General features: G+C 42.5%; 1 protein-coding gene, 1 long non-coding RNA gene and 1 pseudogene across 37 annotated transcripts in view; 1 reads left to right on the top strand and 2 right to left on the bottom strand.

The window, feature by feature from the left end:
* Nucleotides 1-24,171, bottom strand: part of CAMTA1 (calmodulin binding transcription activator 1) — a 984,253-nt gene that overhangs the window by 916,719 nt on the left and 43,363 nt on the right. The gene's annotated exons all lie outside the window — the stretch shown is intronic.
* Nucleotides 843-24,171, bottom strand: LOC124903832 (uncharacterized). The gene is made up of 2 exons (XR_007065449.1): nt 23,444-24,171; nt 843-20,050 (listed from the first exon to the last, which is right to left on the bottom strand). It is a non-coding gene; the product is annotated as an uncharacterized LOC124903832 (long non-coding RNA).
* On the top strand, nt 18,351-18,706 carry RPL37P9 (ribosomal protein L37 pseudogene 9; annotated as a pseudogene).

Below are 24,171 nucleotides of genomic sequence, written 5' to 3'. Positions count from 1 at the left end.
CACGGTAGTAAGAAGAGCAGACATACCTGAGTTTATGATGAGAGGACTCTCGGGAGAATGGCGACTGGTTACCAAAGCAACCAATCATGTGATTAGAGGATTCAGACTTTCATCCCCTGTCACTCTGCTCCCCACCCCACCACCTCCTGGGAAGGGAGAGAGGTTAGAGACTGAGTTCAATAACCAACGGCCAATGGCCAATGATTTGATCAATCATGCCTTCGTAATAGAGCCTCCATAAAAACCCAAACAACAGAGTCCAGACAGCTTCCGGGATGGTGAACACATAGGGGAGCTGGGAGGGTGACTCACCTGGAGAGGGTGTGCAAGTTCTGAGTTCCTCCCCATACCCTGCCCTATGCATCTCTCTTTTAGCTGTTCCTGAATTGTATTCTGTATAATCAACAGGTAAACCTAGGTAAATGTTTCCCTGTTTTGTGAGCCATTCTAGCAAATCACTGAATCTGAGGAGGGGGTTATAGGAATCACTTCATAGCAGTCGGTAAGAAATATCGGAGACCTGGACTTGCAATTGGTTTCTAAGCAATCTTGTGAGGCCAAGCTCTCAACCTGTGAAGCAAGTAATTCCAGGCAGTTAGTATCCAAATTGAGTTAAATTGCAGAATACCCGGAGTCCACAGAGAACTGGAGAATTGGTTGGTATGAAAAAAACCCTACACATTTGGTATGAGAAGTTTTGTGAGTGTAGAAGAAAGAGAATTGGGGTTTTGGCTTTTTCTTTTAAATCCTTCTCATTTTTGTTGATCTAAAGAAGTGATAATTTTGTCCTCACTTTTGAAGGGTATAACATTCTAGTTTGGCTGTTTACCTTCTTTTTTACATTTTTAAAACATTAGTTCATTGCCTTCTGAGAAGGATGCACTATTACATCTATTGAGAAATTAGCTGTCAATCTCACTGCTCTTTTCAATGTAGTACGTAGTTTTTCTCTGGTTACTTTTTTTTTTTTTTTTTGGAGATAGAGTCTCACTCTCACCTAGGCTGGAGTACTTTGGTGGGATCTTGGCTCACTGCAATATCTGCCTTCTGGGTTCAAGCAATTCTCGTGCCTCAGCCTCCCAAGTGGCTGGAATTACAGGCGTGCACCACCACGCCCGGCTAATTTTTGTATTTTTAGTAGAGACAGGGTTTCACCATGTCAGCCAGGCTGGTCTCGAACTCCCGGCCTCAACTGATCTGCCCACCTCAGCCTCCCAAGTGGCTGGGATTACAGGCATGAACCATCATGCCCAGCTAATTTTTGTATTTTTAGTAGAGATGGGGTTTTGCCACATTGGCTAGGCTGATCTCAAACTTCTGGCCTCAAGTGATCCATCCGCCTCAGTCTCCCAAAGAGCTGGGATCACAGGAGTGAGCCACCGCACCTGGCCTCTGGTTACTATTAAAATGTTCTCCTTATCTTAGATTTCTGGTAGTATTTTTTAAATCTGTGATGAGATGGCTTTTGCCTGTTATGAACAATTCTCAGCTATCATCACTCCAAATACTGCTTCTGCAGCACTCCTCCTTCCTTTCCTACTAGGATTTCAATTACATGTTGGTTAGACCTTTCCACAGAATCCCTAAGACTCACTCTATAATGTATGTCCAGACCATTTTTATTTCCATATTTCATTCTGAACATTTGTTTTCTACTTATTACTAATGTACTGCTAAACCCATTAACTGACATCTTAATTTCATTTACAGTCCTTTAACTCTACAGTTTACATTTGGTTTTTCTACTGGGGAGGGGGTGGTGTGGTTCCAATTTCCCTATTCTTAATCTTTTAACTCCGTAAACATACTACATACCTTACCCTTTTCTAATAACTTCACTATCTGGATCCCTGTCGATCCACTTCCATAGTCTGTTGTTTCTCTTGGCGTTCAGTAACATTGTCTTAAATCCTCATCTGCCTGGTGATTTCTGAGTGCCAAACATTGTAAATAAACATAGAGCTCATCTGAGGTTCTGAGTGATGTTATCTTCTTCTATTAATGAAAGAAATTATACTTGCTTCTTTCCAGAACACCTTGATCCAGCCAGGAACTGAGAGGGTCTGGAGCTGGACTTCAATACCTGTTAGGAGCTACTATCTCTAAGATATAGGCTTTTGGGTCTCCTACTCAAAGCCTAAGAAGTTTTCCTGCTCCCTGATCTGAGCCAAACTCCAATTTTTGTCCTCCGCCCTCTGAGTCTAACAAAAACTCTGTTCAGCCGTCCAGCTTCTCATCTGCCTAATTCTTCTGGAATGAGCAGATTCCTCTGGGAAAGAAATGACTGCAAATGCTGGTCTCACATCTTGGGCTTCCCTACCTCATCACCACGCCCCACCTCTTACACCCACAAATCTTCACTATTTTGTTAACTCTCCATTTCCTTCACATAAATTTTGTTTTAAATTTTGTCCATCATCTCGACTTGCTCTCAGCAGGAAATAAGGCCCAACAACTTAGTCTATCATCAACCAGAAAAATCTTCCCTACTCTCCCTTTTTCACTCTTTGTGGGTCTACCCCTTCTGTAATTCCTGTCATTTTATCAAAATTTTGGAAGGATGGAAGATAAAGACATCTTCAATGAGTCCTACTTAACCAGAAACCTTCAGTTATTCATTTTTTTGATAGATCATTTAGATATGAAGGATATTAAACCTCTGCCTGTCAAATCTATGGCAAATACTTTTCCTAGTTTGCCATTTACACTTTAATTTTATGATATTTTTAGCACACAGACATGCTGGATTTACATGAAAATTTCTTAGTCTTTTCTTTCTGTTATAATTAGAATGGGTATGGTCCTTCCTAACTTGAACACAAAGTAAGTATTGACCCACGTTTTCTCCTAATATTTTTACTATTTTCAATTTCTACATTTAATTTTTAGATTTATTTTGGTATAAGGCATGAGGTGGGGACCTAAACTAACTTTTTTTTTTTTTTTTTTTTCTGAGACAAAGTCTTGCTCTGTCGCCCAGGTTGGATTGCAGTTGCATGATCTCGGCTCATTGCAACCTCCACCTCCCAGGTTCAAGTGATTCTCGTGCCTCAGCCTGCCAAGTAGCTGGGATTACAGGCATGCGTCACCACATCTGGCTAATTTTTGTATTTTTAGTAGAGACGGGGTTTTGCCATGTTGGCCAGGCCAGTCTTGAACTCCTGACTTCAAGTGATCCTCCTGCCTCAGCCTCCCAAAGTGCTGGGATTACAGGCATGTGCCACCACATCCGGCCTAACCTAATATTTTTTAAGTGGTAAGCCAATTGTCCCAAATGTCCATTTAAATAAACAGCCCTCCATTTCCTCCTCAAAACTGTACCTTTATCATATACTAAATATATATATATATAATTTTTTTTTTCCTTAACACTTCTATAATTTTACTCTGCACCTTGGCACTGCTGATCCCTATTGCTCAGTCTCCTTGCTACTATGTCCTGCCTTGGTTTCTGTAACTCTCCCAGCTCCCCTCATCTTCAACTATTCCTTCTTAGTCTCCTTTGTAGGCTCAATTTCCTTTCTATGTCCCCTCTCTCATTTCATCCTCTCTCATTTTCCAGCCTCCTTCAGTTCATTTCTGGAAGCTCTTTCTTCTCTCATTCTCCTACTCTCCAAGGAAAATTTTATCCGTACTCTCAGCTTCTTTGAGCTCTCTCTAGGTCCCAAATCTACATCCAACTGCTTTCTAGGATCTCTAGATGTTCCCCAGGTGCTCCAAGCTCAACCATACAAATGAAAATACAGTATGTCCTGAAACCTGCTCTTCTTTATGTATTTCATTATCTACAGTACCACCATCACTCAAACCAGAATCTCAGGAATTTCTCCTCTCCTTCACCGTGAAAGGATCCAGAATAAGCCACTATAGCATAAAAATTATTTTGAGCTGAAGGCATTTGAGTTCCTGAAACCCCTTATCTGCCTAAAAGCAGAGCCTCCCAAAAGAACTCAAAGAACTCAATTGTCATGAACCCTTTCCCACAGGGGCAACTCTAATCATCTGAGATGAGAAGACAACCAAACAGAAAATGTCACGAAAATATACAGCTTCCATTTATTCTCCTATGAGCCCATTTATCTTTCCAAATAGTTCTTTGTTTTCCCGGAAGTACCCTTTCTCCCTCTCCTCTTCATCTATTAAGATGGTGCATAAACCCCAAATTCTAACAACTCTTTTCAGTCACATTTATTTGTGAACTCCCCTAAGTATTTACAAAATTAAAATCTACCTTTTCTCTTGCTAATCTATCATCTGTCAGTTTAATTCAAAGGCCCTCAAGTACTGAACCTAACAGAGTAGAGAAAAAGTGTGACAGGATCACGTCTTAGAGGTCACATAAATGCTACTAACTCTACCTCCCAAGTCAGATCCTTCGCTACTGCCAATGTCTAAAAACAGGTCTTAGTTACTACCTCTGGGATGGATTCCTCACCAGACTCCCAGCGTTCTTCCAAACCATTCTCTACATGGTCCACAGGGTAACTGCATAAAATAAAAATCTGCTCATTTTCCTCTTCTGATTAAACTGTGCTAAAAGGCCAGATGCAGTAGCTTATGCCTGTAATCCCAATACTTTGGGAGGACGAAACGGGAGGACCACTTGAGACTAGGAGTTCAAGGCCGGGGAAATGTAGGGAGACTCTGTCTTTACAAAATAAAAATAAAACTATTAGCCAGATATGGTGGTGCACCCCTGTGGTCTCAGCCACGCTGGAGGCTGAGGTATGAGAGGATTGTTTGAGGCCAAGGAGTTGAAGTCTATGGTGAGCTATGATCAAGCTGGGAGACAGAGTGAGACCTTCAAAGAAAACAACAACAAAAAAATCTGTTAAAATGTAAACCCAGGCTGGTGTGGTGGCTCATGCCTGTAATCCTGGCACACTGGTGAGGTGGGTGGATCACCTGTGGTCAAGAGTTTGAGACCAGCCTGGTCACTATGGTGAAACTCTTTTTCTACTAGAAATAAAAATCTTAGGCCAGGCGCGGAGGCTCATACCTGTAATCCCAGCACTTTGGGAGGCTGAGGCAGGCAGATTACGAGGTCAGGAGTTCAAGACCAGCCTGACCAACATGCTGAAACCCCGTCTCTACTAAAAATACAAAAAAAAAAAAAAATTAGCTGGGTGCCACATGCGTGCCTGTAATCCCAGCTACTCAGGAGGCTGAGACAGAAGAATCACTTGAACCCGGGAGACGGAGGTTGCAGTGAGCAGAGATCCCGCCACTGTACTCCAGCCTGGGTGACAGAGGGGGACTCCATCTCAAAAAAAAAAAAAAGTTAGCTGGGGGTGGCAGTGCATGCCTGTAATCCCAGCTACTAGGGAGGCTGAGGCAGGAAGAATTGCTTGAACCCAGGAGGCAGAGGTTGCAGTCAGCCGAAATCACACCACTGCACTCCAGCTTGGGTGACAGGGTAAGACTCTGTCTCAAAAAAAAAAAAACAAAATTTAAACGCAACGTGGCATACATAGCCTTCTATGATCTAGCTGCTACTCTCTAACCTTAACTCATCCATCTCTCTCCTTAAACCCTAAACTAGCCATAGCGAATTATCCAAGCAACTCAAACTACTTCCTTCTTCCGTTCCTTTGCACAGGAAAGGAAGTATTAATAGTTTGACTAAACGTAGTACCTTCAGCCCAGAAAGTTTTCTTGCTGATTCTCTTTGTCTGCCTAGCAAACTTTCTAATCATCTTCAAAATACAGCTTTAGTGTCATTTTTAAAAAAAAAATCCATCCTTCACTTGAGGCCAGGAGTTCGAGACATGCCTGACCAACACAGCAAAACCCCATCTCTACTAAAAAGTAGAAAAATAAGCCAGGCGCAGTGGCACAAGCCTATAATCCCAGCTACTCGGTAGGCTGAGGCAAAAGAACAGCTTGAACCCAGGAGGCAGAGGTTGCAGTGAGCCAAGATGGCGCCACTGCACTCCAGCCTGGGAGATAGAGCAAGATTCCGTCTCCAAAAAAAAAAAAAAATCCATCCTTCATGTGCTCAAGCAGACCATCACTGCTCCTTTTTGCCGCAGATACATCTTATACACACATACTTTATAATTCTATTATACCTTTTATACCATATTGCAATCATTTTTTATGTCTGTCTTCCCTCCAAGACTATGGCTGCCTTTTATTTACTTCCAATTAGCCAGACTTACATACTGACCAAGAGTGTCTCCTTGACCAAACTCTAGCCAAGCTCCTCTGAATCCTCTTCCCAACTAGGTCTTCAGTGTCAACCTTCAGTATCCATCCTTGTCTGTCTAGCCTAGTTTTAGCAAGAATTCTGTCAATATGGTTTAGTAATACTAATGATTCTTTATTATTATAAATTTAATCCATGTAGAAATAACCTGTGTTTTGGGACTCCTTTTAGTTAAAAAGTTGACAAAAAGCTAGAAGTCTTCGTAACTACAGCTAAAAATGTTTCTAGTTTTTGCATATAAATGATACAAGCTACTCTGTTTTTGAACTTTTTAAAAAACCTTCATATCCATTTCCTTACTATGGTACAACTACAGCCCCAGGCAGGAAAGCTGCATATCTTTATTTGGGCAATTGTCTCCTTATAAAGAGAATAAAAAGAGCCATAACAAACATTCAAATGAAAAGTGGCTCCACGTAAATGGAGAGTAGATAAGGGCATTTTCCAATAGTTTGAGATGATGAGAATATCTCAGATTATCAAAACAGATTTGATATGAAAGTTTTAATGAATCTGTAAAACCTACTTTTAAGTATAAGTAAAGAAATCCTAGTTCAAATTTTAAAACCAAATATACATGGTGAAAAGTGAGAAAATGTATCTTATATGGTTTGGCTGTGTCCCCACCCAAATCTCACCTTGAACTGTAATAATTCCCATGTGTCAAGGGCGGGGCCAGGTGGAGATAATTGAATCATGGGGACTGTTTCCCCCATATTGTTCTCATGGTAGTGAATGAGTCTCAAGAGATCTGATGGTTTTATAAACGGGAGTTCCCCTGCACATTCTCTCGTCTGCCATGTATGACATGCCTTTGCTTCTCCTTTGCCTTCTGCCATGATTGTGAGGCCTCCCCAGCCATGTGGAATTGTGAGTCCATTAAACCTCTTTCCTTTATAAATTATCCAGTCTCAGGTATGTCTTTACTAGGAGCATGAGAACGGACTAATACAATATCCCATTAACCTATTTTCAAAACTTATTCCCAGACCTGTCAGGAGACCTTGAGGTCTGTCATTAACAAACAGATCTTAGTTACTACGCTCTAGCTTTCCAAAGAATAGCAGTGTAGAGTAACATAGATACAACCTGCTAAGAAGCAATTACTAAACTGAAACTTCCATATCTCCAAGAAGCAGCACTTAAATCATCCATGGTAACATTGTTTCTTTAAAGTTTTCAACATGTGGCAGTTTTGTTTAAGTAAATAACAGCTTTATTGAGATATAATTCACAAATCATAAAGTCCACTCACTTAAAGTATATTTTTTAATATATGCACAGAGTTGTGCAACCATCACTATTGCAGCTTTTAACTCAATTTGGTTAGGCTAGAATTTTCTCAGGATTCCCTTCCCTGAATCTGGACAAGATTTAAAAAGCGAAAAGTAAAACCACCATTACTTCCTGAGGGCCGAGGTAGTTAGAGGTGGTAGCAGATATAAACGGAGATGCCAGAGGGTTCCAGCTTGTCCACGTGCTGCTTCTGTCACTAGCTTTTTCCCCCAACTGCCGGCCTTGTCAGCGAACAGAAGCCCCTGGACCATCAGCTGCTGGCCAGCAGACCTAGAGAAGTGATTGCTATGCAGAGGTAATAGCTTTTCATAGACTTTTTCATCAGCTTTCCTTTGTGGTCCCGTTCTAGCAGCTGCTCATGCCTGGCTTCTCAGAGCCTCCCACAAGTTCTAACTCAGCCACCCGTACAGGTGCTTCAGGAGAGGTGCTTTCGTGGCTCTTCTCTGGTCCTCTAATTCTTCCTTCCAGACTGTCATTTTTCCAGCTTTTCCCCACAGTTGTAAAATATCTTATTGCTATAAAAAATAAATCCCTTATTACATAATACAGTGGTTCTGCTTCCCTGACTGAATCCTGACTGATATCCACGAGTTACTTATGTGTCCTTAAACAATAGCTTAGCATTGACTCTTTGAACTTTAGAAAACTAGAATCTGATCGTATGTATTCTGTGAGAATCTTCTTCTATGGTGCTGCATGTAGCTGTATTTTGCTCATTTCTCACTGCTGTTCAATAATCTACTCTACACCATATACCATTTCAGTAAACTTTTTTTTTTTTTTTTTTTTTTTTGGACACAGGGTCTCTCTCACTCTGTCACCCAAGCTGGAGTGTAGTGGCACAATCTCAGCTCACCACAACCTCCACCTCCCAGGCCCAAGCAATTCTCCCACCTCAGGCTCCCAAGTAGCTGGGACTACAGGCACGCACCTCTATGCTGGGCTAATTTTTGCATTTTTTTTTTTTTTTTTTTTGTAATGCAATGGTTTTGTCATGTTGCCCAGGCTGGTCTTGAACTCCTGGGCTCCAGCATCTGCCTGCCTCAGCCTCCCAAAGTGCTGGGATTACTGGCGCGAGCCACTGTGCCCAGCCCCATTTCAGTGAACTTTTTATTAAAATATTATATACAAACAGGAAACAGCACAAATTGTAAATATATTTGTGTGTATGTGTGCATGTGTATCACACCTGTCATCAAGAAAGAACATTACCAACACCCCAGAAGCCCTGCTAATATATCCTCCCTACTCTCCAAAGGTAACTACATCTCCTGACTTGCAACACCATAAATTAATTTTGCCTTTGTTTTGAACCTGTATACAGAATCAAACAATATATATTCTGAGTGTCTGGTTTCTTTCTCTCAACATTATGTTTGTGAGAGTTACTCACTTCTTGAATATTCATCAATTCATTAGTTTTCACAGCTATACAGTCTGTCAAGAATATACATAAGGAGTAGAACTGCTGGGCTTTATGGTGTGCAAATCTTCCACTCTCATAGATAATTCTAGTTTCCCAAAGTGGTTAAACTAATGTAGATTCCCATCAGCAGTACATGAAAGCTCCCCCTGCTCTGTTTCTTGCTGACACCTGATGGTGTCTTTTTTAATTTGGCCACGCAGATGTATAAGGGCATCTAAATTATACTGAAGCTGTTGTGGGAGTATGTCAATGTCATAGAGAATTATAAAAAAGTTTGGGGCCGGGCGCAGTGGCTCATGCCTATAATCCCAGCACTTTGGGAAGCTGAGGCAGGTGGATCACCTGAGATCAGGACTTTGAGACCAGCCTGGCCAACATGGTGAAACCCTGCCTCTACTAAAAATACTAAAATTAGCAGGGCATGGTGGTGCGTGCCTGTAATCCCAGCTACCTGGGAGACTGAGGCGGAAGAACTGCACAATGAGGATGGTTAAGTTACTCTCATACTAATAAAACTATCCTCAAGGAAAAAATTATAAGAGACCATTAACAGCCAATCTCTATTCTGAGAACTCCCTATATCAGGTTTGAGCTAACCTCTTGATCACTTTTCTGGATCTTTCCCTGACCAAACCAAAAACACAAAGTTTTCTAACTGAAATTCCTCAGAAACTGATCACCTTGTAAAATACTGTCTTTCCAAATTGGATGACCACTTATCAGGAATGCTCATCTCACAGTGTTCCAAGACTGGGTAGGGAATGGAATGGACATCTAAGAACCTTAAGCTGTAGAAAGAACAGCAGCTCAAAGATGGAGACAGACTATGGGAGGAAAAGAAGAAAAAATAATTCCCACATGTTACAAATAGCTGCTTCGTCATATTAGGCTATTCAGAAAGGAAAAAAGTGTAAAGAAGGCAACGTGAAAAACAGAAATGAACAAACTGTGCCCTACCAGTACCAAGCTTTGAGTACCGTATACTGCTTAGGAGTTTTAATCCAAATTCAGACGTGTCAGTTGATTCAAATGATCTACATTTTAATAATATAACTGTACATTTAATAATGACCACTTGCCTATTACAAATGTTCCCCTCCAGATTTCCTTTTGCTTCCTTCTTTTTTTTTTTTGAGATGGAGACTTGCTCTTGTCACCCAGGCTGGAGTGCAATGGCACGACCTCAGCTCACTGCAACCTCCACCTCCCGGGTTCAAGCAATTCTCCTGCCTTGGCCTCCCGAGTAGCTGGGATTACAGGCATGCACCACCATGCCCAGCTAATTTTCTTGTATTTTTAATAGAGACGTGGTTTCACCATGTTGGCCAGGCTGGTCTCGAACTCCTGACCTCAGGTGATCCACCTGCCTCGGCCTCCCAAAGTGCTGGGATTTACAGGTATGAGCCGCCACGCCTGGCCCTTTTGCTTACTTTTAACCACAATTTGTTTAAGCACAGTGAAGACTTCTTTTGAAAGCAGTCAACAGTAGATTTAAGGCTGTAGTTCTTAGCCCTGGCTGCACTTCAGAATCTCCTAGGGAGCTTTTTAAAATCCTCAGTTTGGGCCCTATCCCTGAGACTCCAGTTGAATTAGTTTGTGGTAGGGCCCAGGTCGTGATATGTTTACAAATCTGTCCTGGTGAGTCTAACATGCAGCAGGGCTGCGAACCACCCATATGAAGGAGGAGCACTGACTGGACTAGGAGCAGGAGGAGGCCTGGCTCTTCTGAGCCTCACGGCGAGGGCGTTTTTACACTCACTATGACGCCCACTTGTTCCTAAACACCCTTTAAGACCAGCACCTCTCCCACTTGAGAGCCACTGGGTCCAGGAATGAATGGGTCTGCACTAACTTGGTCTTCCACCTCTGTGAGCATGTTGTGGAGTGAATAAATGTTATTAAAACGTAACAAAGTAAAGAAAGAAATGGAGGCAGGCCTACAATTTAGCGGGTGAGGAGAGAAGAGCAGAAGTGTAAGGGAAGTGGTTGGGGGGCAGGAGAGGAAAGGAGATGTCCCTCCACCATGGCGCTGAGTCTGGGCAAGATCATGGCTGATCCAGGCTCCCCAGGAAGAAAGGGCAGAGGTTCTACACTGACTTCAAAGATTTGGCCACCACCCGTGGAATGACAGCATCTGAGGTGGGCTTGCGGGCCCTGTAGTGGCTGCTGACAAGGATCCTGTCCACTGACCCAGGCGCAAGCAACAGGAGTCATCAGTACCTTCTGCTGTTCTATTAAAAATAACCCTGTGAATTTCACTTTCATATGTCCCCATCCCTATAAACCATTTCTTGGTTTCACTCCAGGTTCTTCATCCAGTTAATCTCTTCCAGTAGACACTACACTAATGCCCCTTCCTTCCAGCAGTCGTCCCTGAACCTCTGTTCCACATTCCGTCTCCCATTTCATCCTCTCAGAGCTGTCCTCTGTGCTTTTCCTTTGTAATTCTTGCCACTATTTACTTTCCTTCAAAGCAAAACTGCCACCAAGAACCATTAAGATGTGTAGCCTCCACGTCCTCACCTCGCTGGCTCTTCAACTCACTCCCATTGGGCCACCGCACCAACACTCCACTGGAACCACCCATTGAGGTTACTAATCAGTTGACCAAATCCAACAATGACTTCTCCGTCCTCATTTTATCCAACTTCCCAGTAACCTTTGTGATACCCTCTGTGAAAGGAAGAACAGGAACCCCAAAGATATACACACCCTAATCCCCAGAACCTGTAAATAAATAACATCACAAGGCAAAGGGGAATTAAGGCTGAAGATAGAATTTAGGTTGTTAATCAGCTGACCTTAAAATAGGAAAATTATCCTGGATTATCCAGGTGGACTCGGCGTAATTAAAAGGGTCCTTAAAAGTGGAAGAAAGAGGCAGAAGAGGTCAGGGTGAGTGAATGAGAAGAGAGCAGGGTCACAAAGACTCTACGTCGCTGGCATCAAGGATGAAGGAGGGAGCCACAAGCCAAGGAACATTAAGCAGACTCTAGAAGGTGGAACAAACAAGGAAACAGATTCCTCTCTAGGGCCTCCATAAAGAACATGGCCCTGCTGGCACCCTGATGGCAACCCAGTGAGACCCATGTCAGATGACTGACCTACAGAACAGTTAAGAAATCTGTGTTGTTTTAAGCCACTAAATTTGTGATAACTGGTTACAGTAGCAAACATAAAAGTGACGCACCCTCCTTAAAACATGTCCTTCTCCTGGCTTCCACTTCACACCTGCCTGCCTCAGCACTGCCTCCCTGGCTCCCCTGCAGCCTCCTGTGCTGGCTCCTCCTGCACTGCTCGGGGCTTAGTCTCCCTTTCTCCATCTATCTTCTGCATCCCAGGTGATCTCACCTAGTCTATGGCTTTAAATGTCACCTGCGCATTGACGGCTCTCCAATTTTTATCTCCAGACAGGACCTCTCCCCAGACTTATGGAAGTTGCCTATTCAACATCATCACTCTGGTGTCTAACAGACATCTCACAACCAGGACATCCCAGAAGAACACTCTTAATCTCCACTTCCTTGTCTCACTGACGAGCCCCAGCACCAACGCAGTAGCTGAGGCCACAAAATTTCTCCTTTCCTTTACCCCCTACATCCAATCCCATGAATTGACAGCTCCACCTCTGAAATACATCCACTTCTCACTCCCTCCACCCCCACCGTCATTTCTTACCAAGATCACCAGTTATCGCAACAGACTCTTAACTGGTCTCTCTGCTTCCCCTGACTGCCACACAGTAGCCAAGAAAGCCTTTGAACATAAAGCTTCATATTATGTTGCTCACTTCCTAATAGCTCATCCTCCAATAACTTCATGTTGCCCTTAAAACAAAATCTCAACTCTTTTTTTTTTGAGACGGTGTTCCGCTCTTGTTGCCCAGGCTGGAGTGCAATGGCACGATCTCGACTCACTGCAACCTCTGCCTCCCAGGTTCAAGCAATTCTCCTGCCTCAGCCTCCGAGTAGCTGGGATTACAGGCATGTGCCACCACGCCCGGCTAATTTTGTATTTTTAGTAGAGATGGGGTTTCATCATGTTGGTCACGCTGGTCTTGAACTCCTGACCTCAGGTGATCTGCCCACCTCGGCCTCCCAGAGTACTGGGATTACAGGCGTGAGCCACTGTGCCCGACCCAAAATCTCAACTCTTTATGCCTACTTGGCACAACAAGATCTAGCCCTTACCTACCTCACCCAGCTCATCTGCCAGATCCCCACACTGTTCCAATCAACAACTTTTTTTTTCACATTTCCTCAAAGCAAGCACATTCCTGCCTCAGGGCCTTTGCACAGGCTATTACCTTTGCCTAGAATATTCCTCCCCCAGATACTCAAGTAGCTGGCTTTCCTTTATCATTCAGTTCTCAGCTCAAATATAACTTCCTAAGAAAGGCCTTTCCTACGAAATCTACTGATGTGCTCACACCTCAGTACCCTGCTCTACTTTGTTCTTAGCACACTCAGAAATCCTCACCTACTTGTTTACTTTTGTATTGTTTTCCCTCTAAACGATAAGCTCCATGAGAATTGGAACCTCATCTTATACCCTCAGCAACTCCAACTAGTGCCTGGCACATAGTAGGCCCTCAAAAATATTGCTGAATGCATAAATGATGGCATTAAATTAAATGGAATTTTGGGGGGGTTTTTTGTTTTTTGTTTTTTGTTTTTTTAAGAGAGTCTCGCTCTGTCGCCCAGGCTGGAGTGCAGTGGCACGATCTCGACTCACTGCAACCTCTGCCTCCCGGGTTCAAGTGATTCTCCTGCCTCAGCCTCCCGAGTAGCTGGGATTACAGGCACATGCCACCATGCCCAGCTAATTTATTGTATTTTTAGTAGGAACAGGGTTTCACCATGTTAGCCAGGATGGTATCGATCTCCCGACCTTGTGATCTGCCCGCCTCAGCCTCCCAAAGTGCTGAGATTACAGGCGTGAGCCACCATACCCAGCCAAAATTAAATGGAACATTAATAAACAGTCGATAAACATAATGTTGGCTGAGCACGATGGCTCACACCTGTAATCCCAGCACTTTGGGAGGCTGAGGCAAGAGGATCATTTGAGGCCAGGAATTCAAGACCAGCCTGGGCAAGACAGCAAGATCCTGTCTCCACAAAAAATAAAAAACGTTGCCAGGCATGGTGTCCCATGCCTGTAGTCCTAACCATTCAGGAGGCTGAGGCAGGAGGATCTCTTGGGTCCAGGAATTTGAAGCTGCAGTGAGCTATAATCGCACCATTGCACTCCAGCCTGGGTGACAGAGAGAGAATCTGTCTCAGTCAATCAAGAAACAAACATGATGCTGTGGATCACTGTCAAAAAATGCCTAACAGATATATAACATATTAAGAGAAAAGCCAGGTTATAGAACTACATGTACAGTAAACCTATTCTGGGTTAATAAATATAGAAAAAATGCCCACACCGGCACAGAGAAATATCTGTAGATACATATATCAGAAAGAAATCTGAAAGAAAAAAATCTGAAGATACATAATTAGAAATTGTTCACTTCAGATGGTAGAGTTCAGAGTGGTTTGGCCATCTCTCTATTGGTGATGTGCTGTATAAATTGCCTTTCCTGGGCTTCATGCTTCTACCTGGAAAGAGCTCCTTCACAGGGGACATGCTGGCTTCCTGCCTCACCCTCACTCGCCCCTTAGACAGGAGTGAATTCCCTGACTGATGAGTCTGAGATTAAGAACCAAGCATGTCTGCCGCAGTTCTTCCTTCCGTGGTTGTGGGAATCCATTTGCACACAGGGAGCGCACATTTTGCTCCTCTCCTCTGCATCACAAGCTTTTCTGGGGTAGCTCCCATGGATCTGCTTGGTGCTGTCAGTGACTATCACCAAGCCAGACTGTTTAATTCAGAAACAGAGTATTACAGCCCACTTGAGCACTAGACTAAATGATATTTGTTGACAGAAGTCTTTACTCATTCATTCAATGAACAGTCCCTGGACACTCCAGGGACTATTGTATATACTTAGAACAGTGCCTGCCATACATACATGTATGCCATGTCCACCTGGCATAAGATCCCTGTCCACCTGGAACTTAAGAGTCTAGCAGTGGCAGCCAGACAATACACAGTGAAAAGATGTAATTTACACAGTATATTAGATGATGACAAATGCTAATTCCAAAACACTTATGCCTCACTACCCCCATTTATGAAATAAAAAATACATAATCACCACACAGCAGGTTCTCTGAATTGCTTGAGGAATAGATTGTTGAAAACTGCTTAAATACAAAAAAATTTGATTAATAATAATTAAAGCATTTAACAAAAATGCTTCTTAAATAAAACAGAGTTAAGTCTAAATTTTGCTCAACAGTACAAAAATAAAATAAAATTTTAACTAGCACATTAACAACTGTCTTCTGACACCAGGAATGCGGATCTGTTGCTACACAGCTGAAAGATGTGTCAGGAAAAACGGGAAATGACTATACTCAGACGTTAATTTTATACATTCTGCTTAATTTCAAGCTATTTTAATGTACCCTTTCTCAGAAATGGGAAGCAGATGGCATCTTCCCATTCTTTTAACTTTCTCAACTTCTAAAGAAGTAAATATATGCGAGTGTTTTCCCCTTGTCTCTCTGAAAAAGTGTCCCTTTGCAGCACCACCTAAAAAAGATCCCCATCTTCCCAGGGGGAGCCTCCCCTTGGCCAGCCTCTCTGGACAGCCTCCACTCCCCAACACAAAGTACTAAGAGGGTAGGCACCTCGGCGCCTTGTCCTTGACCTTCTGACTCTTCCTACAGCGATCTTAAAAGGGAACTCCTGCCAGGCACGGTGGCTCACGCCTGTAATCCCAGCACTTTGGGAGGCCGAGGCGGGTGGATCACGAGGTCAGGAGATCGAGCCCATCCTGGCTAACACAGTGAAACCCCATCTCTACTAAAAAAATACAAAAAAATTAGCCGGGTATGGTGGCGCGTGCCTGTAGTCCCAGCTGCTTGGGAGGCTGAGGCAGGAGAATGGCATGAACCCGGGTGGCGGAGATTGCAGTGAGCGGAGATTGCAGTGAGCCGAGATTGCGCCACTGCACTCCAGCCTATGCAACAGAGACTCCATCTCAAAAAAAAAAAAAAAAGAACTCCTTCAGGGTATGAGCTACTCACAGAATTTCGGAATGTTGTTCTCTTTCCTCAAGAGGCTTGGCCTGGGACCAGCATTACCTGTCTCAGCCCCTCTGAACAGCTGCTTCTCTTCTGACTATAGACTAGAGGTGGCCGCCTTTTCTAGCCTAGGTCAAATGACTTTTCTGCTTCCTTGTTTCTTGCACATGAGAGCCTTTATTTCCCCCATGAACTCCTTTGGAGTCACAATAAAATGAACTCAGGGCCAAATGAAGCTTGCCTCAGAATCCACCTCGGTGCTACCGCAGACGCCCCACCTGGATGAGTGCACATGCATGCACATACGCGCACATGCACACACACATACACACACATACACACACATGTGGACTCTGCTTCACCTTGTCCAATTCCCCAGAGCTGAAGGGCCTCCCAGTTTCTTTTCTCCCCAAATGTAAATTCCAGGTTCTCGCCATTTTACAATTTTTTCAAGTCTACCCCCTTCGCCAGACCAGTGAACATTACCACAGAAGCTTCTAAGAAGACCTCATGAAAGCCACATAGCCTGCCTTCCTTACAGAGAATATTCTTCCTTACAGAGAAAACACTCTCCCAAACACACATTTCTATTTCATCGCATTCACCCCAACCCATCTGTGGTTTCTCATCCATCTAGAAAGGATTTCTTTTTGTTGTTTCTTCACTTGCTTTTCCAGCTTTCTAAAAGCACTAATACTGTAAAACTTAGGTTATTTTTTAGGAGCTTCTTTTAAAACCTTCAAAATAACTTCATAATTACCAAGATAACAGAATTTATCATCAGAAACCTGGGGTAGGCAGTATTCGAAAAGACTTGAAGGTGGGTAGGCAGGTAGCTGGATAGGCAGGTAGACAGGTAGACAGGCAGGTAGGCAGGCAGACTGTGACACTCAGCTTTAAGGTTCTGCTGTTTTCAGCTACTTGAGCCAAACGGATATGAAGAAGGAGTGGGGAGACTATTGTTCATGCTACCCTTTCAAAAAACATTGAAAAATTAGAATATGCTTCTATATGCCCTCTCCACTGCCACCCAAACTTTAAAAGAGCTTCCTATATGTCAAGACATGAACAGATACTTCAGATAAATGCCAAAAATAAAACCTATGCATTCTACAACTTTTAGGTGCCTACTAGCTAAAGACATGAGAAAAAAGCTCTAGAAAGCTCAACTGTAACCTATGTAGCCAAAGCACACCAAAACATGCATGAGTGGTATGGGGATGGCAAAGCTGAGCCTACAGTCCAGTGAAGTTAATTAGAACACACTTCCAGGAGGCTGAGATTCTTCCTCTAAGTGAGCTTTCACCTGGGCACTTGTTAGAAATGCACATCCTCAGGCCCCACCCAGGACCTACTGGAACAGAAACTCTGGGGATGGGGCCCAGCAATCTGTGTTTGAACAAGCCTCCCAGGTGATTCTGACTCCAGCTCAAGCCTAAATCCACTCAGCTAAAGAATGCCAGCCTCTCCGTATATTCTTCCTTTTTCCTTCCAACCAGGCTCAGCTTCTCCTTTACGGAAATCACCATCACCCAAAGTCTCCCACCCACTACTGAGAAGAGCTGGGTATTTTTATCCTGAGGCAACTCCACCAATAAACTGTCTGCACAGTACAGAGTCTCGAGTGCAACTAGAAACTCCACTCAACTGCTCTTCATCCAACTTAGAAAAATGTGGGCCCAAACTGGATCCTCATTTGCACCTTAACATTTCTTAAAAGCAGTTTCAGGAAATAGCATATTAAGTTATGACTTGGACAAAAGGTCAATCTCCAATTCCAGCTTCAGTACTGGACAGGTATAGAAACTTGAAAAGACACCAAAGAAGAACCTCGAGCCCCCTGAACAGATGCTGCCAACCCCTGAGCATGCTGACTCCACTCAGTCCAGAAGGCTGCGGGGTGATGAAAAATGTTCTGAACTTAGGTAGTGGCGATGGCTACACAACTTTGTAGATGTATTAAAAACTACTGAATTGGCCGAGTGTGGGCGGGAGCTCCCACCCATAATCCCAGCACTTTGGGAGGCTGAGGCAGGAAGACTGCTTGAGCCCAGGAGTTCAAGACCAGCCTGGGCAACATGGCGAGCGAGATTCCATCTCCAAAAACAATGTATAAATTAGCTGGGCGTGGCACACGCCTATAGACCCAGCTACTCAGAAGGCTGAGGTGGGAGGATAGCTTGAGCCCGGAAGGTCGAGGCTGCGGTAAGTTATGATTGCGCCACTACACTCCAGCCAGGACAACAGAGCACGACTCTGTCTCAAAAAAAAAAATTAAAAAGGTCTCTCTGGTCTCAGCCACAGAAGTGAGATGACCGTTTGGAAAGTGTTGCAATAGGACACACACATTGTGCCACCGCTGTGGCGTGAAGGCCTACCACCTTCAGAAGTTGACCTGTGGCAAATGTGGCTACCCCGCCAAGTGCAGGAGGACGTATAACTGGAGTGCCAAGGCTAAAAGACAAAATGCCACCAGGACTGGCCGAACGAGGCACCTAAAAATTGTACACCACAGATTCAGGCATGGACTCCGTGAGGAAACAACACCTAAACCAAAGAGGGCAGCTGTTGGAGCACTTTGATCAGCTTAAGAATTTCAACAATTAGTCATGCAGTAAATGTTCTGGTTTTAAAAAAAAAAACAAAAAATAAAATAAAAATTAAAAAATAAATTTTTAAATTTATAAATAAAAATAAACAACTACTGAATTGTACAACTTAAAAGTAAGTAAAAAGATGATTAACAGTAAAAAAAAAAAAAAAATTAATCAAATAAACTCCGAAGCTGGACCCAAGCCTCCCTGGAAAGTCCAACATTCCTAAAGAAAACCTTCAAAAGCAACAATAATCTTCAAAGACAAATCTTCAAAGGTCACCAAGCGCCATCACCTAAGACCCAAGAGAGGCCAAGTAGGTTAAGTGCCTTACCCAACACTCAGCTGAGTAGCGGCAGAGCCAAGACTCGAATCTGCTTCTGACACCAGCTCTGCACCCTTTCCAAGAGAGCAGTGTTTCTCAACTGCGGCTCTGTGGAAGTATTATCAAGGGGCTGTAAGTCCATATAAAATTTTTAACTTTGCATCTTAATTTAATGTATAATCTGAAAAAGTAACACCTGAACCGAGTATGTTCTAACACACAAACTCATTGCTCAAGTTTGTGATTTGTGGTTACGTTTCCCCTAGTACCCAGTAGTGTCATTTAAATTTTTCTTGGGCTAATGAGAAAAACCAGAAGTGAATTTAAAACTAAATGATGTATTTGTGCCAAGGCTTAATGACAGACTTATACAAATGCTTGATATGTAAAAAACAGCTTCTCAGTATAAAATAATTGCAGGACACAAGATAGTACCGCATGCCAAATTCAAAAGAACCTGCTTGAGAACAGTCAGTATGATACTCATGTTGCGAGACAATTTAGTTTTGGCAAAACATCATCTATTGCATTTAACTAACCCTGTTAATATAAAACTTTATTAGTTTTGTATTTTCTTTTTATGTAATGCATATATCTGAGTTTTATATTTGCAAAAGAACTCCAAGAATTAATTTTATACTGAGTTTTTTGTGTTTTTACGTTAATTCATCCAACAAATATTTATTGAACACTGACTATGGCCAGGTTAAGTGCCACATGCTGAAGTAATAGTATAATAAAACTAGTTTAGATTGAAACTGAGGAAGACCCACAGGAATTTCTTCCTTAAAAGAAAATGTTCTTTAACATCTTATTCAAATGCTATAAATATTGCTGTACTCTGAGGGTGCAATTTACTTCTCTTACTATTCCTCAGTGTCAAACCTGCCTTCACCTGTCTCCCCTCACCTGTGTGGGAGGACATTCCGCCCCAGCTTTTCAATATATCCTGTGGAGTGCTGCTGCTGCTGCTGCTGCTGAGGCACTGCACACTTGACACAGGCTGCCTGATCTCCAGGCTTGTGCCTACCTGTATTTCAGTATCATGTATCTCACTTCACACTAGCAAAGCAAACAGAGGAACTATATTTAACCTAACTGCTACACAAGTATCACTTTTAATTTGAAACTTCGTACTATATACTGTGTTCAAAAATCACATAATGTCACTCTTAAAACTTGGCTCTCTGTGTTGTTTATATGCATTTTCATTTTTGCAATTTAATCAGAAAAGCCCTGCCTGGAACAAAATAATCTGGGACCGTTCAAACCACTAGCCCTGCCAAAAGCTAAACAAAACCAAGCCCTACCTAAAGGTTAACTGACTTTCCACGCCATCAAAACTGAAATATCTCACCTGCCTTTATGATTAGAGTACTGGTGCTTTTCAGCTTAGCTCACATTTAGGAAGTCTGAAGAGTCTTAAATGATCCCCCCAAAATGTGTGTCTATATTTCAAAGAGATAACATATAAATACACTAGAAAAACCAATCACTGAAAAATTACAGCCCTAAACCTAACACAAAGTTACACAAAGGAAAAAAAATTAAAAACACAAGAAACACTCAAGATTATGTATCGACACCAAAAAAAGACTAAATAAATTTTTTAAAAGGTAAGGTAACCAGGCACAGTGGCTCACACCTGTAATCCCAGCACTTTGAGGGGCCAAGGCAAGCAGATTGCTTGAGCTCAGTTGTTTGGATGGGCCTTGGCAACATGGTGAAACCCTGTCTCTACAAAAAATTAGCCAGGTCCGTGGTGGCGAGCACCTATAATCCCAGCTACTTCAGAAGCTGACATGGGAGGATTGCTTCAGCCCAGGAGGTGGAGGTTGCAGTGAGCCAAGATTGTGCCACTGCACTCCAGTCTGGGTGACAGAATGAGACTCTGTCTCAAAAAAAAAAAATAAAAAAAAATAAGGTGGCTTGATGTTAAAAACAGTTGAAATTAATTATTATTTAATAATTCTTACAGTGTTAAAGGCCATTTTTCTTACCTAAATATAAAAAGTTAGGGGGAAAAAGTACTCAAGATTTTTAAAGAGTAAGTTTCCTCCTATAAAAAGCATTATAATTATTACTCAAGTTTTGTTTTGTTTTTTCTCCTGCAGACGCTTTGGTGTGGCTTAGAATGTATCAACCTATACTGCTCTCTACATAGACATTTTTACCATTAAAAAATGCATTTAATATGACACTCTAAAGCTACCACCAACTAAAAACATCTGATGAAACTTTCTTTAAGGATCAGTACAAACTAGAATTCTATTTTGTTTGCTTACTCTAGAGAAACTGTGTATTACAGGAAAAACAAAAAAAGAACATTAGTTCAAAAATAGTAACACACAAAAGTGATTTGAACATATTTAGGGAGAACATTTTCATTATAAAAGGTTCATGGTGCTGCATTAGTTTGGCTTTGGAAGAATGCCAAGTGAAATCTAGATCCAGAGACTAGGGAATGCAGTAGTTATATTTTAAGTCAAACAGCTAATTAATGACTAAACAAAACAATTTTCAGTCTGGACAACATATATGGAGTACTAATATACGTAATTATGAAATAGTCATTTGTGAATTCAGACAGTTGTGTTAGCATAATTATTTCTGGCTCTAGGCCTTAAAAATACTAACTTAAAATGCAGAAACCTTATAGCAGTTCACCTGATGAAGATGTGAACACCAAACTGATTATGAAACAAGAGTAGGTTCTTTAATGAATGTGCTCTGTGTTTAATACATTCTTTCTCCCTTGCCCTGAATATAAAAGTCAGGCTTAATGCTCAAGTTACACACAGGTACAAAATTTCTATTTTTAATATAGTTTTTTCACTATCCATAGTCCACATACTAATAGTCATTAAGAATCAAAACTATCGGGCCGGGCGCGATGGCTCACGTCCGTAATCCCAGCACTTTGGGAGGCTGAGGCGGGCGGATCATGAGGTCAGGAGATCGAGACCATCCTGGCCAACACGGTGAAAGCCCATCTCTACTAAAAATACAAAAAATTGGCTGGGCGTGGTGACGGGTGCCTGTAGTCCCAGCTACTCAGGAGGCTAAGGCAGGAGAACAGCGTGAACTTGGGAGGTGGAGCTTGCAGTGAGCCGAGATCACGCCACTGCACTCCAGCCTGGGCGACAGAGTGAGACTCCATCTCAAAAAAACAAAACAAAACAAACAAACAAAAAAATACTCTCTCAAGCTACTTATGGGGTGATAGAAATGTGCCGTGTCTTGATTTTGGAGGTAGTTTCACCAGCATACACTTGTCAAAAACTCATTGAATTATGCACTTCAAATGGGTGCAGTTTATATTGTAATACATAAATTAAACCTCAATAAATTGTTTTAAGCTGGGCGCCGTGGCTCACGCCTGTAATCCAAGCACTTTGGGAGGCTGAGGCAGGCGGATCACCTGAGGTCGGGAGTTGGAGACCAGCCTAACCAACATGGTGAAACCCTGTCTCTACTAAGAATACAAAATTAGCCAGGCATGGTGGCGCATGCCTGTAATCACAGCTACACAGGAGGCTGAGGCAGGAGAATCGCTTGAACCCGGGAGGTGGAGGTTGCAGTGAGCTGAGATCACGTCATTGCACTCCAGCCTGGGTAACAGAGTGAGACTCCATCTCAAAAAAAAAAAAAAACAAGGCCAGGTGCGGTGGCTCACCCCTGTAATCCTAGCACCTTGGGACACCAAGGCGGGCGGATCACGAGGTCAGGAGATCAGGAGATCAAGACCATCCTGGCTAACACGGTGAAACTCCGTCTCTACTAAAAATATAAAAAACTAGCCCGGCATGGTGGTGGGCGCCTGTAGTCCTAGCTACGCGGGAGGCTACGGCAGGAGAATGGCGTGAACCCGGGAGGCGGAGCTTGCAGTGAGCGGAGATCGCGCCACTGCACTCCAGCCTGGGCGACAGAGCGAGACTCCGTCTCAAAAAAAAAAATAAAAAATAAATAAATAAAAAAAGAATCAAAACTATCAAAATACACGTAGGAGAAAACTTTTTTTAAAAAAAGGAATCAAAACTACTTTCCTAAGAAATGAGTGTCTGCCACTTTTTAAAAAATCATAATGCAAAATTAGATTAACTTTGTTACAACATTTTAAAATCAGATGAAGAAGCCAAACAATTCTATAAAACGAAAGGATTAGAACTAAATAGCTACAAGATCTTGGAAAAGTCAACTTGATATTGCTCTGTGGGACAAAATGAGGGATTATGGGACTCAAAGTCGGGCTGCAGCGGCTGAACTCCCCCGTCCCCCACTTCCCGGCTCTGACTGCGGGTACATTAGTTAACATATCCATGGCTTCAGTTTCCTCATCTATAAGATAAGGATAGTCAAATAATCTATCTCATAGGATTAACTGAAAGATTAAATGTGATGATTCATGTAAAGGACTCACTAGTGCCTAGCATACAAAGGATGTTCAATACATACTGGCTTCCATAATTAGTGCAGCCATCATCACCTTCACTCCTTGTGTCATCTTTACCACCTGAGGACCAGTATTGGTGGCTGCGGGAGCACAATCTAAAATTGATTTGGTTTCAGATGTAACATTTAATTTATTCTGCAATTGCAAATAACATCCAAGAAGGGAAAGGATTTTAGGTATTCCAATGGGTTAGAAAAGGTTAAAAGTAGCTTAAGTAGGTCCAACGATCTCTCTTACCTTCTTAGAGTCTTCCTTTTAGTGACTTTCAGCTTCACCAAACATTTGCATATGAATCCACAATATTAAGACTATATTAACTCTTTTTAATTCAAAACTACATTACAGGCCAGGAACGGTGGCTCACACCTGTAATCCCAGCACCTTGGGAGGCTGAAGCGGGTAGATCACCTGAGGTCAGGAGTTCGAGACCAGCCTGGCCAACAGGGCGAAACCCCATCTCTACAAAATTATAAAATACAAAAATTATCCAGGTGTGGTGGCACATGCCTGTAATCCCAGCCACCCAGGAGGCTAAAGCACAAGAATCACTTGAACCTGAGGGGTGGAGGTTGCAGGGAGCTGAGATGACACCACTGCATTCCAGCCTGGGCAACAGAGTGAGACTCTGTCTCCAAAAAAAAAAAAAAAAAAAAAAACTACGTTACAGAATAGACTTGCTGTAGTTTAGGTTTGTAGGCCTTTGATTAAACTCCTATAGAGTAAACAATAG

Source organism: Homo sapiens, chromosome 1, assembly GCF_000001405.40.
Source record: "Homo sapiens chromosome 1, GRCh38.p14 Primary Assembly".
Lineage (NCBI taxonomy): Eukaryota > Metazoa > Chordata > Mammalia > Primates > Hominidae > Homo > Homo sapiens.
Note: the sequence above shows the minus strand (reverse complement) of the source record. Positions and strands in the feature narration are given on the sequence as shown.